General features: G+C 42.3%; 1 protein-coding gene and 1 pseudogene across 5 annotated transcripts in view, besides 6 other annotated features; one reads left to right on the forward strand and one right to left on the reverse strand.

Moving 5' to 3' along the window:
- Nucleotides 4,696-4,755: an enhancer, noted in NCBI's record as "active region_1942". NCBI's record gives its function as "activates an Ori minimal core promoter by ATAC-STARR-seq in GM12878 lymphoblastoid cells {active_cell/tissue: GM12878}" and the evidence as "EXISTENCE:reporter gene assay evidence [ECO:0000049][PMID:35858748]".
- Nucleotides 4,769-5,330: an enhancer, noted in NCBI's record as "NANOG-H3K27ac hESC enhancer chr1:160635284-160635845 (GRCh37/hg19 assembly coordinates)". NCBI's record gives its function as "activates a minimal SCP1, AML or CMV promoter by ChIP-STARR-seq in naive H9 embryonic stem cells {active_cell/tissue: H9 hESC(naive)}" and the evidence as "EXISTENCE:reporter gene assay evidence [ECO:0000049][PMID:30033119]".
- On the forward strand, nt 9,233-10,456 carry SETP9 (SET pseudogene 9; annotated as a pseudogene).
- Nucleotides 12,248-12,307: an enhancer, noted in NCBI's record as "active region_1943". NCBI's record gives its function as "activates an Ori minimal core promoter by ATAC-STARR-seq in GM12878 lymphoblastoid cells {active_cell/tissue: GM12878}" and the evidence as "EXISTENCE:reporter gene assay evidence [ECO:0000049][PMID:35858748]".
- Nucleotides 13,497-14,113: an enhancer, noted in NCBI's record as "H3K27ac-H3K4me1 hESC enhancer chr1:160644012-160644628 (GRCh37/hg19 assembly coordinates)". NCBI's record gives its function as "activates a minimal SCP1, AML or CMV promoter by ChIP-STARR-seq in primed H9 embryonic stem cells {active_cell/tissue: H9 hESC(primed)}" and the evidence as "EXISTENCE:reporter gene assay evidence [ECO:0000049][PMID:30033119]".
- Nucleotides 13,964-14,073: a silencer, noted in NCBI's record as "silent region_1462". NCBI's record gives its function as "represses an Ori minimal core promoter by ATAC-STARR-seq in GM12878 lymphoblastoid cells {active_cell/tissue: GM12878}" and the evidence as "EXISTENCE:reporter gene assay evidence [ECO:0000049][PMID:35858748]".
- The window catches only part of CD48 (CD48 molecule), a 33,077-nt gene continuing 30,125 nt past the window's right edge, over nt 18,021-20,972 (reverse strand). For 3 of the 5 annotated variants that reach the window (XM_017002867.3, NM_001778.4, XM_047435011.1), the window contains 2 exons: nt 20,477-20,743; nt 18,021-18,406 (listed from right to left, as the gene is read on the reverse strand). In XM_017002867.3, the coding sequence (XP_016858356.1) occupies nt 18,327-18,406; nt 20,477-20,743 (347 nt within the window). In that variant the 3' untranslated portion in view covers nt 18,021-18,326. Of the gene's footprint in view, nt 18,407-19,701; nt 20,744-20,972 lie in introns of those variants that run through there. The other 2 variants (XM_005245625.1, NM_001256030.2) reach the window with 2 other exon arrangements.
- Nucleotides 20,709-20,798: an enhancer, noted in NCBI's record as "active region_1944". NCBI's record gives its function as "activates an Ori minimal core promoter by ATAC-STARR-seq in GM12878 lymphoblastoid cells {active_cell/tissue: GM12878}" and the evidence as "EXISTENCE:reporter gene assay evidence [ECO:0000049][PMID:35858748]".

Genomic DNA, 20,972 nt, shown 5'->3' on the forward strand with positions numbered 1-20,972 from the left:
GTTGATTTTTTTTTTCTTTCGCTGTGCAGGAGCTCTTTAGTTTAATTAACTCCCATTTGTCAATTTTTGTTTTTGCTGTATTTGTGTTTGAGATATTAGTCATAAATTCTTTGCCTAGATTAATGTCTAGAAGAGTTTTTCCTAGCTTTTCTTCTAGGATTATTATAGTTTGAAGTCTAACATTTAAGTCTTTAATTCATCTTGAGTTAATTTTTGTATATGGGGAGGGGTAGGGGTTCACTTTCTTTCTTCTGCACATGACTAGACTGTTTTCCCAGCACCATTTATTGAATAGCGTGTCCTCGCCCCATTGTTCACTTTTGTCGACTTTGTCAAAGATCAGTTGGTTGTAGGTTTATGGCTTAATTTCTGGGTTTCATGTTCTGTTCTATTGATCTATGTGTTCATTTTTGTACCAGTACCATGCTGTTTGGGTTACCATGACCTTGTAGTATAGTATGAAGTTGGGTAATGTGGTACCTCTGGCTTTGTTCTTTTGCTTAGGATTGCTTTGGCTAGCCAGGCTCTTTTTGGTTCCATGTGAATTTTAGAATTGTTTTTTTTCTAATTCTGTGAAAAATGATGGTAAATTAATAAGAATTCTGTTAATTCGTAGATTGTTTTGGGAAGCATGGACATTTAAATGATATTGATTCTTCCAATCCATGAGCATGGACTGTTTTTCCATTTGCTGTCTCATCTGTGATTTCTGTCATCCATGTATTGTAGCTCTCCTCATAGAGATCTTTCACCTCGTTAGTCAAATGTATTCTTAGGTATTTTATATTTTGTGGCTATTGTAAATGGGATTGAGTTATTGATTTGGTTCTCAGCTTGAATGTGATTGGTGTATAGAAATGCTACTGGTTTTTGTATGTTGATTTTGTATCCTGAACCTTTACTGAGGTTCTTTATCAGGTCTAGGAGCCTTTTAGAATAATCTTTAGGGCCTTCTAGGTGCAGGATCATGTTGTCAGTGAACAGAGATAATTTGACTTTATTTTTTCCTATTTGAATGCCTTTTATTTCTTTTTCTTGCCTGATTGTTCTGACTAGGGTTTCCAGTACTAAGTTAAATACAAGTGGTGAAAGTGGACATCCTTGTCTTGTTCCAATTCTTAAGGGGAATGCTTACAAATTTTGCCCATTCTATAGGATATTAGCTGTGGTTTTTGTCATGGATTGTTATTATTTTGAGGTATGTTCCTTTAGTGCCTAGTTTGTTGAGGGTTTTTCTCATGAAGAGATGTTGAATTTTATTGAATGCTTTTTCTGCATTTATTGAGATGATCATATGGTTTTTGTTTTTAATTCTGTTTATGTGGTGAATCACATTTATTGATTTGTGTATGCTGAATTATGTCTGCATCCCAGAAGTAAAGCCAACTTAATCCTGATGAATTGTCTTTTTGATGTGCTGCTGAATTCAGTTTGCTAGTATTTTGTTGAAGGTTTTTGCATCTATGTTCATCAGGAGTATTAACTTGTAGTTTTCTTTATCTGTCGTGCCCTTGCCAGACTTTGATATGAGGATGATACTGGCTTTATAGAATGAATTGAGGAAGAATCCCTCCTCCTCAATTTCTTGGAATAGTTTTAGTAAGATTGGTACCAGCTGTTCTTTGTACATCTGGTAGATTTCCACTGTGAGTCCGTCTAGTTCTGGGCATTTTTTGGTTGGTAGTTTTTTTTTATTACTGATTGAGTTTTGCAACTCATTATTGGTCTGTTAATAATTTCAGTTTCTTCCTGGATCAATCTTAGAAGTTTATGGGTTTCCAGGAATTTATCCATTTCCTTTAGATTTTCTAGTTTGTGTGCATAGAGCTGTTCATAGTGGTCTCTGAGGATCTTTCGTATTTCTGCAATATTAATTGTAATGTCACCTTTGTCATTTCTGATTGTGCTTATTTGGGATCTTTTCTTTTTTTTTTTCTTGGTTATTCTAGTTAGCAGTCTATCAATCTTATTCATCCTTTCAAACAACCAACTTTATTTTTTTGATCCTTTGTGTGAGGTTTTTTTTTTTTTTTGTCTCAGGTTCATTTATTTTTGCTCTGATTTTAGTTATTTCTTTTCTTCTGCTAGCTTCATCAAAAAAGGTTATCATTGCATGGTTATATGTAGCTAAAGGAACATGAAGACAAATATGAATTAGAACCACAAGGATTTCACTCATTACTTGTACGACCTTGGATAAGTCATGGTGTTGGCGAAAATCAGTTTTCTTATCTATAAAATAATGCACTACAAGTTATCTCACATAGTGGATGCTATGATGTGCTGTTCCGATCTCCCCCTCAAGACCAAAGCAGTCATTCCCCATGCAGGAAGTATTGGTGGCTGACAGCTCTCAGCTGAGTTCCTCCCCAGGAACTGCCCTTAGCCAGTTCCTTCCCTGAGGAACCCACATCAAACAACTGGGCCAACTGGTTGATGAAAGGATATAAAAGTCCAGTCCCCTTTTGCCTCAGTTTGCAACAGCTCTGAGGGTCATTCTAGCTCCAGGGCTCCTCACTGAGTCAGCTGAGGACTTTGTTGCAACTGCATCCGCAGCTCAACTTCTTCCTCTGCTCACTCTTACTTCCCTCACTCCCTCACAGGTATTGATTATTTCATGGGCACTCCTCCATAAACTTTTCACACACAAATCTCCATCTCAGAGTCTGATTTTTGAAAACCTGAGCAAAGATACCTAATATGCCTTTTGAATGTTAAAACAGCAGTGTATATAAAGTACAGTATTTGCTATATTGTGAACACTCAATATTTGCTATTCTCTTCTCTTCCTCATTGTTTTGATCTGTTTTTCTTTCATTCCTGCAAGGATACACAACCCAGGACTTTCCACAGGAGGCAGTGTCTCCCCTTTCACCTGATCAAAACTCCTTTTTGCGCACAAATAATTAAACACATTCTTGGAAAGCCATTCATTCTTTGATGGAAGCCACCAAAAGTCTTAAGCAGCTGAGTGACCTGTTCATATTTTTGCTTTAGAAAGATTACCTTGCCTGGGCGTGGTGGGATTACACACCTGTAATCCCAGCACTTTGGGAGGCTGAGGTGGGCAGATCACCTGAGGTCAGGAGTTTGAGACCAGCCTGACCAATATGATGAAGCCCCATCTCTACTAAAAATACAAAAATTAGCCAGGCCTGGTAGCATGTGCTTGTAATCCCACTACTTGGGAGCCTGAGATGGGAGAATCACTTGAACCTGGGAGGCGGAGGTTGCAGTAAGCCAAGATTGCACCATTGCACTCCAGCCTGGGGCAACAAGAGTGAAAATCTGTCAAAAAAAAAAAAAAAAAAAAAAAAAGAAAGAAAAGAAAAGATTACTTTGGCCTTAGTGTGAGAGAAATTTAGGTAGACCTACAGGCTAGGAACAGATTTGAAGAAATGATGGGTCTTAACTGGAGAAGTAGCAATGAGGTGGGAGAGAAGGAGATCCATTGGAGAGTTATCTCATAGGTGGATTTTTCAGGGTTTGGTGACTTATTGAATGTGGGCTGTGAAGGAGAGTGGCCTATATACTATGGCCTTTACACTTCCAGTTCAGTTTCCCAGTAGATGGCAATGCCATTCTCTAAGAAAGGAAGTATAAGAGGTGGAGATAACTTAGGGGCAAAATTGAGAGCAAGGGGTATAAGATTATTTGTTGGCTTGGGATATGGTCAGTTTAAATGTTTACGGTTCATGCATATGGAGATTTCCAGGGGCTATTTGAAAACACAGAGCTGACTTTGAGAGGAGAAGTATAATCTGAAGGAAAGCAAACAAATATAGAAGTCATATTTTCAACTCCTTCATTTCACCCCAAGAAAGCTAATACTTAGAGACTAAAACTTCTAAGGGACTTACCATATGGCTAGTTTTTGAAAAGCCGTAACCAGAAACCAAATCTCTTGGGTTTAGGTCAATCCACCCATATCCTGATTGAGTTTCATTATGCTCTATTTACCTTCATGGTTCCCCAATCTAACAATGCCTGGCATACAGCAAGTGCTAAAAATGTTTGTGGAATGAATATACTGATTGTGGCCTTTTTTGGTGGGGGTAGAACTGGCCCCACACCTTCACATCATCACTGGAATTATGCCTCAGAAGCATCTTGGAAGTCAGCAGACCTAGGGAAGTCCTACTTAGCCATGAAATTTGCATTTCCCCAGGTACCTCCCAACCCCTCTCCACTTCCTCTGAGAGCAAAACCTCCGTTGTTCATGTCACACCCATGGGCAGCCTTTGTGCTCAGTACACAGACCTGATTGAGAAGATTGATAAAAGCAAAATAGAAAGAAGCCGTGATCTGGGTCATATGAGTTATACAACCATTTCCCTCTTATTTTACACTTGGGGAAACTTAAGCTAAGAGATCTTGTCTTAATTCATTAAAATTAGAGTTGCCAGCCCAGAAGAGAGGAAGGAGAAGTTTGGGACAGAGGAAGGCAACTAATACTTATTGAGCACTTACTGTATGGCAGACTTTATGTGGAATGATTTATTGAGGTTATCTCATTTAATCCTGATTTTAAAAATCATCCACATACGGAAACCGAGGTTTAGAAAGTTTACTTTTCCTGAGGTTCAGAAGCTGGTAAATGACGGTTCTGGAACTCAAACTCAAGGCTGTCTGGCTCCAAAGGTCATGCTCCTTCCCCTATACCACACAACCTCCCAGAAGCTTGAAATGTGGTTCTGGGTACTAGGTATAAGCTTGAAGACCAACCAAACATGCTCATTCCAGTGCTCTCTCTAGGAGCCAACAAGCCCTCCAACATTGCCCCCCTAGAAGGTCCTGCAAAATTGAGTTGTCTAGGGTTTGACAGAGTCCAGAAGACATTTTCGAACATAAGAAGGGCAATGGGTCAAGCCCCAGGGAGTACCCAGTAGTATCAACAAAGAAAGGAGAATGTGTATTTGACTTCCAGCCTCAGCCCTGCTGGTAACTTGCCAGACGGCCTTGGCCTGGCCACTTCCTTCCTGTCCTCCACCAAGATTACAGAAAATTAGGAAATGCAAATTTTATGGGCTTCCCTGCTGACGATTTCTAAGTCTTCTTTGTAGTAATCATTCCTATCACAAAGAGGGTGGGAAACGGTGATTATGGACCAGGGAGAGAGTCCTATTCCTAAGAAGTGGTTCTTGGACTTTGGAGAGGCAACAATTGGTTTGAGTCTTAACAAATGAGTGGGAGTTTGTTAGGTCAACGAGGAGTGGGAGGGGATTCCAGGAAGTGTAAAAGCTTGAGCAAAGGCATTGAGTAAATTCGGGGAACTGCTAGCAGTTCAGGAAGGTTGCAGCATTCAGTGCAAAGGAGGGGCCAAACTAGAAATTGGACAGGAGAAAATCACAGAAACCAAGCCACATAAGGATCAGTAGAACCCTGTAGGCTCTCCAACGAGCCTATCCTTGAAGGATTTAAGCATGAAAATGTTGTCATTATTAAACCTAGGCTTTAAAGAGGTCCTTCTGCTCTGTGTTGCTGTCCTCTGCCAGAGATAGCAAGACTGACAGAGGCTGTGCTCCTGTAGCCTGGGAGCCAGAATGGAGAGACACATTGGGCAGAGCCCGGCAGAGTCACAGGAACTTGTAGTCCCCATCTGTTTATTATTCATGGAAGCTTTCTCCTTTTCTTGATTGGATCAACAGAAAAATAAACTGTCGTCTTTGGCAGATGATTCAATGGGAATTCAAGGGTTTCAATGGGAATTCAAGGTTGAAAATGATAATGTACTCTGAGAACTCACAGGTCTATAAAAGGAGAGGCCTATACAAGGAAAGAAGAGGATGTGGTAAATGCAGAACAGACCCTCAGCATCTTGAAGGACCATCAAGGGGAAATAAGTATTGCAGACCTTTCATTAATCTGTGTAGTTAACTTTTTATTTGAAAATAATGTCAAAAGAGCTGCAAGAAAAAATTATTATTAATAATAGTACAAAGAACACGCTTATAAATATCCTGCAGGGAGGGGTCTACAAGTTGGCTGTGACTGTGAATACCTCTCTGTAATGTTTTGCCCATTTTGCTTTAATATTAGCTAGTTCTCTCTCTCTCTCTCTTTCTGTCTCTATTTGAACTATTATAGGGTAGGTTGCATATGGCATGGCTCTTTATCTTAAATACATCAGTGTAAAGAATTAGGATAATTTCTGACACAACTACAATATAGTTATCACTTAAGTAAATTTTACATTGATAACAATATTCTTGTCTAACCTACTGTTTGCATTTCAATTTTGTCGGTTGACCCTTTGTAACCATAATTTTCCCTCCAGGTCAGGATCCAGTCCAGTATTAGGTATTGCATTTAGTTGTTGTATCTCTTTAGTACCCTTCAACTGTAACATTTCCACAGCTATATCTTCTCCTTTATGACATGGATATATTTGAAGAATGCAGTCTTCCCACCCTTTCCCTTTTTTTTTTTTTTTCTTGAGGTGGAGTCTTGCTCTGTCACCCAGGCTGGAGTGCAGTGGTACAATCTCGGCTCACTGCAATCTCCACCTCCCGGGTTCAAACGATTCTTCTGCCTCAGCCTCCTGAGTAGCTGGCATGCACCACCACACCCAGCTAATTTTTTTGTATTTGTATTTTTAGTAGAGATGGGGTTTCACCATGTTGGTCAGGCTGGTCTCAAACTCCTGACCTCATGATCCGCCTGCCTCAGCCTCCCAAAGTCCTGGGATTACAGCCTCTCTTTTTTAATAGCAAATTCCTCACTTGGGGTTTTTTGGTATTTCCTTATGATTAGATTCACATTATGCATTCCCAGACTAGGTACTACACAAGTGACATTGTACCCTCAAGGTATCACATCTAGAGACCCTTGATGTCTTCTCATCGATAATGTTAATTTTAATCACCTGGCCAATATATTGCCAACAGATTGCCAGATTTCTCTATTGTATAGTTATCTTTTTTGATTTTAACTAATAACTATGTGTTGGCATACAGTGGAAGGCCATGCAGACATCTTACTCCTCATCAAAATTTCCTCTGAGATTTAGCATCCATTGATAATTTTTGCCTGAGCCTGTCTTAATTGTGATAGTTACAAAATAATAACTTTCTTCACTTTAGCACCTCACTCCATATTTGGCATTCTATTGCAAGCAAGAACCCTCCCTTTATCTATCTGATCTATCGCATCTGTCTTCTCTAGTCAGTTTTGGTAGTCTGTGTGATTCTTGAAATTTTTCCATTTCGTCTAATTTATTTCCATACAATTGTTCATACTATCCCCCTTGTAATCATTTTTATTCCTTTAAAGTCAATAGTAATATCCCCTTTTAATTCTTGATTTTGGTCCTTTGAGTCTTCTCCGTTTTTCATTTTATCAGTCTACCTAAACATTTGTCAGTTTTGCTGATCTTTTCAAATAACCAAACTTTAAATTTGTTTTTCTCTTATTTTTGTATTCTCTCCTTCATTTCTTTCCATTTTTATCTTTATTATTTTCTCCCTCTTGCTTGCTTTGAGCTTAGTTTATTCTTCTTTTTATAGTTTCTTAATGAACTTAGTTCTTCTTTTTATAGTTTATTTTCTTTCTTTCTTTCTTTCTTTCTTTCAAGACAGGGTCTCACTGTGTCACTCAGGCTGGAGTACAGTGGCACAATCACAGCTCACTGCAGCCTTGATCTCCTAGGTTCAAGCAATCCTCCTACCTCAGCCACCAAAGTAGCTGGGACTACAGGCATGAGCCACCACACCTGGCTAATTTTTTAAATTTTTTGGTAGAAACAAGGTCTCACTACGTTGCTGGTCTTGAACTCTTGAGGTCAAGTGATCCTCCTGCCTCAGCTTCTCAAAGTGTTAGGGTTACAAGAATGACCCACTAATCCCAGCCTATAGTTTCTTAAGGTAGGAGGTTAGATTATTGATTTGAGATCTTTCTGTTTTAATTTAGGCATTTACAGCTATAAAAGTTTCTCTAAGCATTGATTTCCTGCATCTCATAAGTTTTTGATATGTAATATTTTTAGTTTTATTCATCTCAAAGTATTTTGTAATTTCCCCTATGATTTATTCTTTGACCCATTGTTTTAGAAGTATGTAGCTTGATTTAGAAGTATGTAGCTTGATGAATTTTCCAAATATCCTTCTGTGATTGATCTATAATTTCACTCCATTGTGGTTAAAAACATACTTTTGACATTTCTGTAATTTTAGTCATTTCATATTTGTTGAGACTTGTTTTATAGCCCAACATATAGTCTATCTTGGAGAATGTTCCATGTGCATTTGAGAACAACAAACACATATTCTGCTGTTGTTGGGTAAAGTGTCCTATAGACTTTGGTTAAGTTTAGTTGGTTTATAATGTTGTTTAAGTCTTCTATTTCCTTGTTGATTTTATGTATAGTTGTTCAATCCATTATTGAAAATGGGATATTGAATTCTCCAGTTATTATTGTTGAATTGTCTATTTATCCCTTCAATTCAGTAAGTTTTTGCTTCATGTATTTTGGGGCTCTGTGCATATATATTAATAATTGTTATATCTTCTTGATGCATTAACTCTTATTATTATAAAATGTCCTTCTTTGTCTTTACAACAATTTTTGTCTTAAATCATATTTTGACTGATCTCAGTTTCTAAACCCAGCTCTCTTTTGGTTATTGCTTCCATAACATAATATACCTTTTTCCACCTTTTACTTTCAACCTATAGGTGTATTTGAATCTAAACTGTGTCCTTTGTACACAACATATAGTGGACCCATTTTTTTTAGTCCACTCTAATAACCTCTGCCTTTTATTTGTAATGTTTAATCCATTTATATTTAATGTAATTTCTGATATGGTAGGATTTATGTTTGCCATTTTCCTATTAGTTTTCTATAGGTTTTTTGTGTGTGTGTGTTCTTCTCTTTCTTTATTAGTGCCCTCTTTTGTATTAAATATATTTTTTCTACTGTACACTTAAGTTCCCTTGTCATTTTTTTTTTTTTACTGTATTTATTTTCTTCATAGTTGGTTTGGAGGTTACAATGATCTTAATTGCAATAATATAATACTTTGTTCTCACACAGCTTTTTCTCCTGCCCACATTTTTTGCTGTTATTGTCATACAAATTACATCTTTATACATGTGTGTCATTAACACAGATTTATAATTATTGTTCTATAAAATTGTCTTTTAAATCAGATAAGAGAAAAAAATTACAAACAAAAACTACACTTATATTGTCTTTTATATACATTTTATGTATCATATGCCAGGGCAGCATGCGCGAGCAAGCGCTGGGAGAGCGAGCGAACGGGGAGCGGAGGCGGCCTGACCGAGTGAGTGCCAGCGAGTGTGGAGTTAGGGGAAGCCGCCTACCCCCGACCCGCTTCCCCATTCCTTCTCTCCCCGTTCCCGTTTCTCCCCCCAACCACCACACCCCGCCCCCCGCCCCCCGAACTCCAAGCAGCACCAAGTCTGTGCCAACGGCTAAAGTCAGTAGAAAGGAGCTCAACTCCAACCGCAACCGGGCAGACGAGACCTCAGAAAAAGAATAGCAAGCAGCAATTGAACACATTTGTGAAGTACAAAATGAAACAGACTTCATGAACAAGCCAGTGAGGAGAATTTGAAAGTAGAACAGAAATAGAACAAACTCTGCCAATCATTTTTTCAGAAGAGGTCAGAATTGATCATTGATGGCCCAAATCCCACATTTTTGGGTAACATCATTTGTCAACCACCCACGAGTGTCTGCACTGCTTGTGGAGGAGGATGAAGAGGCACTGCATTATATGACCAGAGTTGAAGTGACATAATTTGAAGATACTAAATTAGGTTACAGAATAGATTTTTATTTTGATGAACATCCTTACTTTGAAAATAAACTCCTCTCCAAAGAATTTCATCTAAATGAGAGTGGCGATCCATCTTCAAAGTCCACTGAAATCAAATGGAAATCTTGAAAGGATGTAACGAATCGTTCAAGTCGAACGAAGAATAAAGCCAGTAGGAAGAGGCAGCCTGAGGCACCAGAGAGCTTCTTGACCTGCTTTACTGACCATTCTGATGCAGGTGCTGGTGAGTTATGAGAGGTCATCACAGGTAGTACTTGGCCAAACCCATAACAGTGCTGCTTGGTTCCCAATGTGGATGATGAAGAAGAAGGAGAAGAACAAGATGATGATGATGATGAAGAAGAGGAAGGATTATAAGATATTGATGAAGAAGGGGATGAGGATGAAGGCGAAGAAGAGGAAGATGATGATGACGTTGAGGAAGGAGAGGAGGATGAAGGAGAAGATGACTAACAGAACACTGATGTTCTGAACAATTTTTTTTTTAATTTTCTCCAGTCCCTGGGAGCAAGTTGCAGTCTTTTTTCTTTTTTCCCCTCTTGTGCTCAGTCGCGCTGTTCTTGAGGTCTCTTTTCTCTACACCATGGTTTTCAACTTATTTGGGGGGAAATGCCTTGAGCATAATACAATGGGAAAATATTCTCTACCCCTTTCTCTTCAGAATTCATTCTTATCTCTTCCTGTCTGAACAAAAACTGTATGGAATCAACACCACCAAGTTCTGTGGGAGAAAAGAAAAACCTTCTCCCTTTGCTCTGCTGGAAGCTGGAGAGTGCCAGACCCCTGTGTAGCAGTGCATAGAATTCTAGCTTCTTTTCTCCTTTCTCTGTATATTGGGTTCAGAGAGTACCGTGTGTCTCTGTGTGAATATGGACCATCATTTATCAACATGTATCTGTCTACTTTCTCTTGTTTAAAAAAAGAAAAAAAAACCTGTAAAAAATGAGGTTATAGAAAGTCATCAAAGGGTGAGTATGAGATGTTTGGGTGGGTTAAGTGGGCATTTTAACAACATGGCTTCTCCTTTGGCATGTTTATTTTTAAATTTTCTTTTTGTTTCACTGGAAAGGAAAGATGATGCTCAGTTTTAAACATTAAAAGTGTACAGATTTCTTTGTTACAATAAAACTAAATGTATACACACAATAATAATAATAATGAAGCAGCTATGTTGTGTACGGTATATCTGGCCTGAGGACCTGGCCAGTGCTACCAGTAACTATCTTTGACTTTACCTGGAAATTTGCAAAAGAATAGAGCTGACTATTCTCCAGTCTTACCCCTCCAAAGCCCTTGACTGGGGAGGGATCACTGACCTTTTTCAGTGTCTCTTGCCTTACTAGTTTTTCCTTAGGAAAAAATACACCCCACTTTACCATGAATATATATATAAGGTTCTTTACTGAATTGTTCAGTAGATCTCATGAGAACAGGGAACTTGAGGAAGAACAAAGGTTATAAAAATTTGCATAATGAAGCATAGTATCACAAGCCTGGAAAACAATTGGGGCTGATTCAGCTTGAAGAATTCTAAAGTTTTGCACATTAAATCTTGCTATCTAGATGTTAATATTTAGCTTTTCTCTTGATTCTTCAAGTTACTACAAAACCTTTCCCATAAAATTCTTCCCCACCTGTATTTATCTGGGTATCTTGCATACAACCAGCTGATATAGGAGGCACGGTTTCTGTCCTTTTCATCCTTTCTCATCTTTTACAAATGCAAATGCCTCATCTTTGGCCAGATGCTAAGTGAAATTCTCCTTTGCTCACTCAAAGCTGATTTTAAACTGGGGAAAGGTAAACACAGGTGTAAAGGATTAGGCAGAAGATGGGTCCACTGCATTCTAGCTGAATCTCCCTACCGGTGAGATTTTCTCACTAGGTGTCTAAATAAATAAGCAGGCCTCAGTTACATTAGGAAAAGAGATTTCTCTCATTAATATGACTCTGATTTTGTGAAATCATAACCCCAGAATTATTATGACAAATAATATTTCATACTTTGAGAACTGGTTTACTTTTCCAGAGCCACTAGTCAAGATAGCTATTTGCCGTCTAGAAATTAGGCAACAGCTTTATTTAGATACCTTTTTATGCAAATCTTTCCAGCAGCCAGATTGTTTTGTTCTTCTCGGCTATCCTTGCATTCTCCTACTTCCTCCTCCTTGAAGGCTTTTCCACACATACCCCTCTGACCTATCTAACACCTCTCCTTTTTCAGTCTCGATTCCAAAAGGAATCTGACCCTCAAAAGAAGATTCAATCTTCCTGACTTATCTCAGTCTGAAATAGTTCTTCCATCTAGCAATTGTCATATTTGACACATGCAGCCATTGACATCATTGGGATTAAATTACTAATTTCCCTTATGACTATCTTCCAGACCAGAACGAAACATGTAGGAAGACAAGAACTATCCCTGCCATTCTCAGTGTTAAATTTGGAAAGGTGTTTGACTCATAGCAGCTGCTCAATGAATACATCTAACTGTTTTTTGAACAGTCTGAACTTGGTATGTTGGGAGCTAACATCAAAGAACTATTTTCCCCCATTCACATGAGGACTGTGTCAAATCTGCCTCCTATCACTTAAGGAGGTTTTGGGAAAATCATTCACTTTCGTTTCTATCACTTCCAGTAACTTAACAGTACGGCTCAGATGTAAAACTCCCCTTTTACTTGTTCCTGTCACTTCAGCCCAAGCTTGTCTCATGATCTAAAAATCTGTAATAGGGAAGAGGGTGTGGTCTGATCTTTCCCCTTCTATTTTACCTCATCTAGTTCCAGATTCTCAAATCATATAGGGCCAGGAGGAGAGGACCAAATTATGTCTTAGTTACCTGGCTGCTGGTGGTTGTCTCTGTTTTTTGTAGAGCACAGGTGTAACGGCTTTCAGGGTGGGGGTGGGGAACTCTCCACTGAGTAGTGTGCTGATGTGGGAGATCTCTGGCTTGGCCTCTTCCGGCCCTCCTCCCACTCAGCTCCCACCAATGATGTATCAATAAAACCTCTTGCTGCTGGAGATCTGCTTACCTGGTGGCCAGGGTGGCAAGACAAGTGAAGCCTGACTATGCCTGCAGCATCCACTGTGGAAACTACTACATCTTTGCCATGCCAAACAGTGAGTATGCAGGCTGCTCCCGATCTTGCTGCAATGTCATGTTTCTACCATGAAGAAAATCAACAGATCCACTACCCAACCGAGAATTCAGACTTTAGTCTCCCTTTCTTTTGCATACCTTGAACCTCTCATGTGGCACTCTTGGAGGTCTCTTTCATGTGGCACTATGGGTGGAGAACCTTACCCATAGGAAGGGAAGGGGAAAGCTGCAGGACTCCCCAAACTCCAACACTTTTGATCCTGATGATCCTCTTTCTCTCTTCTCTCCCTAGTCCTCTGTTTATATAGAGTGGGGGTGAATAACACTGGGGTAGTAGAACCAGTTCAGTCACCCCTTCCTAAGCCCTAGAGGTGGTGCTGCCCCAATTTATTTGCAGCTTTCTAGAATGTGAAGTCTTTTTGTCCTAGCTCTAAATATGAGGCATTAGGAAAAGTGCCTTTGGAAATCCTATTGCAAATATCTGTTGAGGGAACCAACCAATGTGTTTGCTGCGTTGTCGGCTCCTTAGGAGTCTCTGACCAAGTTAGTCACAGGGATAGGAGACACTTGTTGAGGGGACTGTGTTTCCTATGTCAGTAAAGGAGGAAGGAAACAAACCAAGGCACTGCCTGTCAGGGGATGTGCAGACCCTCATGGGCAGCTGGAACATCAGAGGCAGAATTGGCATGGTGAGGTCTGGGTGAAAAGTGGGAGTTATGAAAAAAAATAATCAGCAGGATGGGATGAGACAGAGGAACAGAAAAATGAGAGATGGAAAGATGATGGGAATAGAACATGATGGTGACAAAAATTTGTAGGAGGAGAAGATGGTGGAGGAGAGAGGAGGAAAGACAGGCAGGCTGGAGTTGGGGGAGGGGACCAGGCAAAAGGAGTGGGCTCTCACTCACCCAACTGGGGCAAAGGGCTGGGCAGAGCAGCTGGCGAAAGAGAATAGAGCCTGTGGTTAGCATTTGCCAGCTGGTGCAGGTGGCTCTGAGCTAAATCCATCCTCTGCCCCACCATGCAGTCTTCTAAGGAGGTTAGAGATGGGGGAGGAGGAGTAGAAAGAATTGTGGGGAAGAGAGAGCACACTCTCCAGGTGCAGGAGCTGCCACTTTAACAAACGCACTTGAAGATAGCCCAAGAACACTGTGGAGGAGCTTGATCTTTTTATTCCTGGACAAGAAGGGACAATGAGAGATGGAACCTTTCTAAGGCTGCTTTGATCATACCAACAGTTGTGTAAAATTATCCTGGCCAAATCCTTTAAATGGCCAAAAACCATTTAAAGTCCAAATCCTCAATGAAGACTTTTGGAAACACTTCCACTCTAAACAACCCACAGCCCTGTTCCTTAAAGAAAGCCATGGCCGGGCACAGTGGCTCACGCTTGTAATCCCAGCACTTTGGGAGGCCGAGATGGGCGGATCATGAGGTCAGGAGATCGAGACCATCCTGGCTAACACGGTGAAACCCTGTCTCTACTAAAAAAATGCCAAAAAATTTAGCTGGGCGTGGTGGCAGGCGCCTGTAGTCCCAGTTACTCGGGAGGGTGAGGCAGGAGAATGGCATGAACCTGGGAGGCGGAGCTTGCAGTGAGCCGAGATCGCGCCACTGCACTCCAGCCTGGGTGACAGAGCAACACTCCTCAAAAAAAAAGAAAGCCTTTCAGGTAATGAGCTCAGCACAGAGCCTAGGGCATACGTGGTAGTCAGTGTTTGTTCTTACTAAGTGGCTTCCAGCATGGGACCCCTAGCATAGGTAAGCACTTGGTAAATATAGGTGGTAAATGAATGAACTCACTGATCTGAGGGGCCAGGTCTATTTATATGTACCCCTACCTGGTCCCAACACAAGGGCCCAATCCAAGCTGCTTATTTGTGCAAAGCCAGATATGAGGGTTACTTTCTCTTAGTCCACAGGAGCTCCTGGCCTTGCCAACCTTCCATGTGTAACCTCATGCTGGCTGTTGAGACAAGCTGGTTCCCACCCCAGACCTACTGATTCAAAGTCTGCATTTTCACAAGATCCCCAGGTGATTTGCTGGCAAGTTAGAGTTTGAGAAGCACTGACCTAATCCAAGGCTTTAAGTTTTACTTAAACTTGCTGCGCTGGAGCCAGCAGAGGGCAGTGCAGGAGCTTGCCTGAGCCGCCTGAAGGCCAAGGGGAAGCAACTTATCCTGACACCTCAGTTCACAAGAGTATACTCATGACTGGAAATTGAGGCTAATTCTGGAGTATCCTCTTTGCACAAAGACAAATGGGCTTGTGTATACTGATAAGGGAACACACTAACCTTTATTTATTTATTTTTTTTTTGAGGATACAGGGTCTTGCTTTGTTTCCCAGGCAGGACTGGCAGTGGCTTTTCCCAGGTATGATCACAGCACACTGCAACCTCCACCTCCTGGCCTCAAGTGATCTTCCTACCTCAGCCCTGGGAGTAGCTGGGACTACAGTGTATGCCATTGCGCCCAGCTTCTACTAACTTTTGATGCATAGACAGATATGAGGGGCTGGGGAACATAAGAACCAGGCCTTGTGACTTCCAGAGAAGGCCGTTGTCTTGGTGTAAGATATTAGTTGTCCTTGAGGTAAATTTGGCTTCACGGGCTTGTGACCTGTACAGTGACACGGGGCCCCAGGTCAGAAGGGCCTTGAACCTGGGTTAGTGCTCTGCTGCTGCTGACACTATCTGGAAATTCTTGATAATTTTCTCTTTCAGCTTCTGCTTAAGCATGCAGGTGAGAAGGGAAGATACATGTAATCTGCATGTCTGCCACCATTCCTTGTTACCCTTTTTCATATCCCATGAGCACAGCACTCCAGCGGACCTACCCAAAATATGTGGGAGTTCAGTGAAACTCAAAGTAAGTGCAAAGTGGTCACGTTATGGGAGCCACTGGCTTTCACAGAGTGTTGGGAGAATGTGTATGCAACAAGAAGTAAAATAAAAAAGTTAAGTTGGGTTTTCGCAGCGTTTTCACACTTCCAATAAGAACAAAATATATATGCATGCATGAGCCACGAAATAGAAATTGAGTAATTGCAATGATCCCAAATATGAATTAAATATTCTATTTTCATTTAAAACTAATGTTTTAAAATATAGAAAGTAAAATTCATGATAATTTAAGTTTTTAATTTGCCTTTACTTAGAACAGCATTAAATAGCAAGCAAATAAAAAAATACCATCTCAAGTAGAGAGACTGTGGAAGAAAAGAAAAGGCTTAATATTTCAGTACTTTTATTGGCACATTTTCCTTGCTTTTTGAGCAAGGGGAGCCAACATTTTCATTTTGCACTGAGCCCCACAAATTATGTATCTGGCACTGCCTTGAGGGATGGGAGGAGCAGGGAACCGTTGGTGTCTGTGACCTGAGCCGTCTAAGGTGAGATTTACCTCAGGTTTCCAGTAACTGGAAATAATACAAATACAATGTCCGCAGAGGCACGCTGGTTCCTCAGCAGCTGAGGAATGTGCTTATTTGTGACAGAAAGTGGCATTTGTTTCCTTCTTACTGCTTGTTTATCCCATTCGCGCTCGCGCGTGTGTGTATATGTGTGTGTGTGTGTGTGTGTGTGTGTGCGCGTGAAATTCCCCCCAAAACCCTCTTCTTCCACTGAGAAAAGTGAGGGGAAGGAAAAGGGTGCTGCTTACAGAAAGGGGATGGAAATGGTCCACCTGTAGGATGCAGGATACTCAGAGGTGAGTTTGGATGGAACTGCAGGCTGCTCAGAGATGAGTTCAGATGGGGATGCAGGCTGCTCAGAGGTGAGTTTGGATGGGATGCAGGCTGCTCGGGGGTGAGTTTGGATGGGGATGCAGGCTGCTTAGGGGTGAGTTCAGATGGGGATGCAGGCTGCTCAGAGGTGAGTTCGGATGGGGATGCAGGCTGCTTAGGGGTGAGTTCAGATGGGGATGCAGGCTGCTCAGAGGTGAGTTCAGATGGGGATGCAGGCTGCTCAGAGGTGAGTTTGGATAGGGATGCAGGCTGCTCAGGGGTGAGTTCGGATGGGATGCAGACTGCTCAGAAGTGAGTTTGGATGGGGATGCAGGCTGCTCAGAGGTGATTTTGGATGGGACTACAGGCTGGGCTCAGGGTGGGGGGTTTCTTCGGAAGCCCAGGCTGTCTTGTGGAAAAGACAAAACCCTACCTTTCTTATCATGCTTGTGCAATGTAGGGCAGGCAGCTGCCTTCCAAACAATGGCTCCGATGCAGTTCCTTGCATCATATAGCCAGACTTCCGAAGTCCTTCACTCCTGCCACATCCATGCCGCCCACTTTCTATTGGACAGATTTCATCACATGGCTCCAGCTAAACACAAAAGTAGCTGGGAAAAAGAGTTTTTTCACTCACCCAGGGGAAAATGAGAAGGTTTGGCAAACACATAGCACTGTATCTGTCACCGAGGAGATGGGGTGAGGAGGGAAGGGCCACGAGGGAGATGGGGGAGGCTGGTCTGGTTTGAAAGGCAAGCAGTCTGTGGTGGGCAGTTTTCTGAAGGGGAAGTGCATTCTGTAGTGACCCTTTCAGCTCCAGGCACATGAGGAGACTTAGAGGAGGGGACATTAAGCAAAAATCCCAGGTGTTATGTCAGTGGTGGGCCTGGGGGCGCCTACCTGCATATAGTGGACAACTCTGGTGAGAACACTGTGTCGATCTGATGGTTTTTTTGGATCCAGTGAAACGACTAGGAGTTGAAGACTTGCCCACACAGTCAATGGAAAAGAGGAGAGAGAATTCAGCTCCCTATGCGAGGCTTGTGGGGCAGGAAGGCTTCTTATGAGATAGAGCTGCATCCTTCCTTCTGCGAGAGCAAGCCTGAACCTATGTTTGCAGCAGACTTAAGGAGAGTGGTCCTCAGAGGGGTCAGAGCAAGGCAAGCCACTGGGAAGGAGGCAAAGGCTTGGCAGGGGAGCTGGAGCCCCAGGAAGCTTAGCATGGATGTTGGAATAAGGGTCAGAAGTAGCACAAATTGGCTCCTCAGCTGTGTTGACACACAGGAGCCGGTGGCTCCAGGCTCTCCCCTCTGTGTCTCCAGATTCCAGTTTCTCCCAGCTGATGGAGCAGGCACTGTCTGACAGATTTGGGACAACTTCAGGAATTCAGTTAATTGACAATTATATCAAATGTTTATTTTAAAAAATAATAAAACATTCACATAATGTTGTCACAATTTTGGGTGGGAAAAAAGCATGTGTATCTCTATATCTCTGTGTACTAGAAAACAACAAAGGGATATAAAATTAAATAATAACCAGTATTTAAAAGTTAACTTGAAAATCCTCGTTGATAATTCAGCAGCATGCTTCTGGTCAGCCTATACAGTCTCTGTCCTGGTGAGGAGCATGATCACCAACAGGCAAGATCTTCTGGCCTTGAAGTTTCGCTTGAGTTAAAAGAGCTCATCTCAGGTAAGTAACAGGCCAAGAATGGTGGGCACCGTGACCACTAGCCAACTTGCAATCCATTCTACTCCAAAGGACCGGGCTGAAAGAGCAAGAAAACCCTATATGCTTAGGTATCTTTATCTTGACTAATGTATTGAGAAGGGGCAAGTGTACTGGACACTGGTGTGGGAGCTCACAGAGCAGGGAAATTAATTTCTTCCCTGAATCCCATCCTATTTGGCTGGGACATTCTTTTCCTCAATCTCCCCAAACATAAAGTATAAAAAATGCAGAAATTCCTTAAATATCACTGGCTTACCTGGGCCCTGTGCTCAAAGGTTACCTCGACATATCTGTGGCCTGGGAAAGCATTGCTCCCCTACTCTGGACATCAACGAGGTAGGGTAGATCTTCAGGTACAGACAGATGACCACATGATACAATGCACAGCTGACTTTAGAGAGAAAAGGACCACTTCCTTTCCTTGTTTCTCTACCCCACTAAGTATCTGCACCAACTAGGAAGAAGAAGGGAAGAGAAAGGAAGACAGAAAAGGAAAGGAAAAGAAAAAGGATGGAAGGAAAGCTTAGATGCTGGGGTGGGGAAGGGCTGAGCTGGAGAAAATAAAAAAAAGGAATGAGTGATACAGTAGGGAAAGGAGTTTGAGGGGGCTTTCTAGGATAATTTCGGTGACTAAAAAGTGACAGATGGGTTTACCCTTCCAAAAAAAATGGATTTATTATTGCTTTTATCCTCTCTTCGGATGAACAGTCACACCCATTTTATAGAGGACAGGGAATGTGCGTCTTCCTTTTTCTGGATCTCAGGATGTGATATTGATATGAGGGTGGTGTTGGAACCACCAGCCAAATTGTGTTCTCATGGTCAGATACCACACTGTCACAGTGGGTCTGTGGTGGCAGAAGAGCAAGGCATATCAGGAGAGGCTGGTAGAGACAGGGCCAATTAGTTAGGAAGAATAAGGAAGAGCATACACAGTCTCCGTAGTCCACATGTGGGAGTAGAGATAAAGAAATCAGTGCAGTTAAGGAGGGTAGACAGAGCCCAGGAAGACCACAAAACAGCAACGTTCTCAGAGGCCAGAATCCCTGATGACTGGGCATGACAGGGGTCACAGGTGAATGTGAGCACCTCAGGTCTGAGTTATTCTAGAAGAATGTGTACGCTAGGGCTCAGGGATCTGACTTCAGGATTGTGGAGGGTATCTGACTCTGGTATTTCCCAGAGTGCTGGAGATATTGATCCAAGTTTATTAAGGGTCCCCAAAACTCTAAGAGACTGCGTCTCATTTAGCTCCCGCTTACTAAGGACTTGTCAGCCACTGTGATAGGCAGTTACGTGTCTTGTCTCATTGAATCCTTAGCACGAGATAGGAACTGTTATTTTGTCCTTTATTTAGGAAGAACATGACTTGGGGAAGCTAAGTAACTTGTTTAGCTAGTAAGTGACAGTCCTAGAAGTGACCCCAGGTATGACTGACTCTAAAACCCATGGCCTTAGCTGTCCCATGCTAGCACCAGTGTAGGCCTGATCTAGAGCCAGGTGTGACACTCATGAGTGGATCCTCCCAGGAGACAGGGGAATCTGGCTTCCTAAGTTCATCTAGGAACATCAGGCTGGGGAGGAGAAGCTTCGCCTGAGGCTCAGGCTCTCACGCCTCCTCGACGGCCTCTCTCAGGCCCGTCTCCTCAGTCCCTCTTTCCCTGGCTGACTTTGGCGGTCTAATGACCTCGGTCCCTCTTTCCTTGGCTGACTTCGGCTGTCTAATGAAGCCCCTCTAGACAGCTGCTCGCCCACTTGCCCTTCCTTCTCCCTGCTCACCCTGATGTTTCAGTCTACTCTATGATGACCCTGGCCTCAGATGTTAGGACTATGCTTTGTTAGAGCGGGAGAGGGAAGAGGAGTATCAGAGATCTCTCCCAAACGTCCTTTGCAGGTGAGAACACTGAGCCCCCACGAAGTTGAGGTAAGCTGGCTGGGAGGTGGTGGTAGAGCTGGTGGCAGAACCCACGTCTCCCAGCTCTCCCAGACACCTTAGGGATTCACCACCACACTGTGCAAGGAGGCTGAATAGGACCCCCAGCCTTTCTTTGTTCAAAACAACTCCAGTTACCCTGTGCCCCCCTCAGCTCCCAGGGATCCTTCTTACCCAGGGTACAGGGTGGACTGAGGCAGACCGTGCCATTCTTGCTGCTCACAGAATTGCTGACTTGGCAAGTATAACACCTGGAGTAATTATGTGGCATAAGGGTGGTTTCAAGCACACTGTTCTGGAGCTCCTTTGGGAAGGGCCTTTTGTCCCCATACCAGGTGTAGTTTACAGACTCGCCAGGTATCACACATGACAGTTTCAGATAACAGTTGTCATCCATGTCTTCTATCTTCTCAATTTTGATGACAGGCTTGGGTACAGGGTCTGAAAGTGAGGAGGATGTTATAAGATGAGACAGTGAGGCATTCATGCTGTGAAGGTTTAGCCAACAAAGAACAAAGGGATCCAGGGAAGGGGCCTGAATGCCCCAGGAGGCAGAGTCATGAAGAAGAAGTTCTACAGAGGGAGCCAGTGAGCAGCCTTGACCTCCTGAGGCCTCACAGACTCACTGCAAGAGCGGCTTCTAGGCAGTGAAGCTAAGCTGCGTCCTGGA

Source organism: Homo sapiens, chromosome 1 (assembly GCF_000001405.40).
Source record: "Homo sapiens chromosome 1, GRCh38.p14 Primary Assembly".
Taxonomy (NCBI): domain Eukaryota; kingdom Metazoa; phylum Chordata; class Mammalia; order Primates; family Hominidae; genus Homo; species Homo sapiens.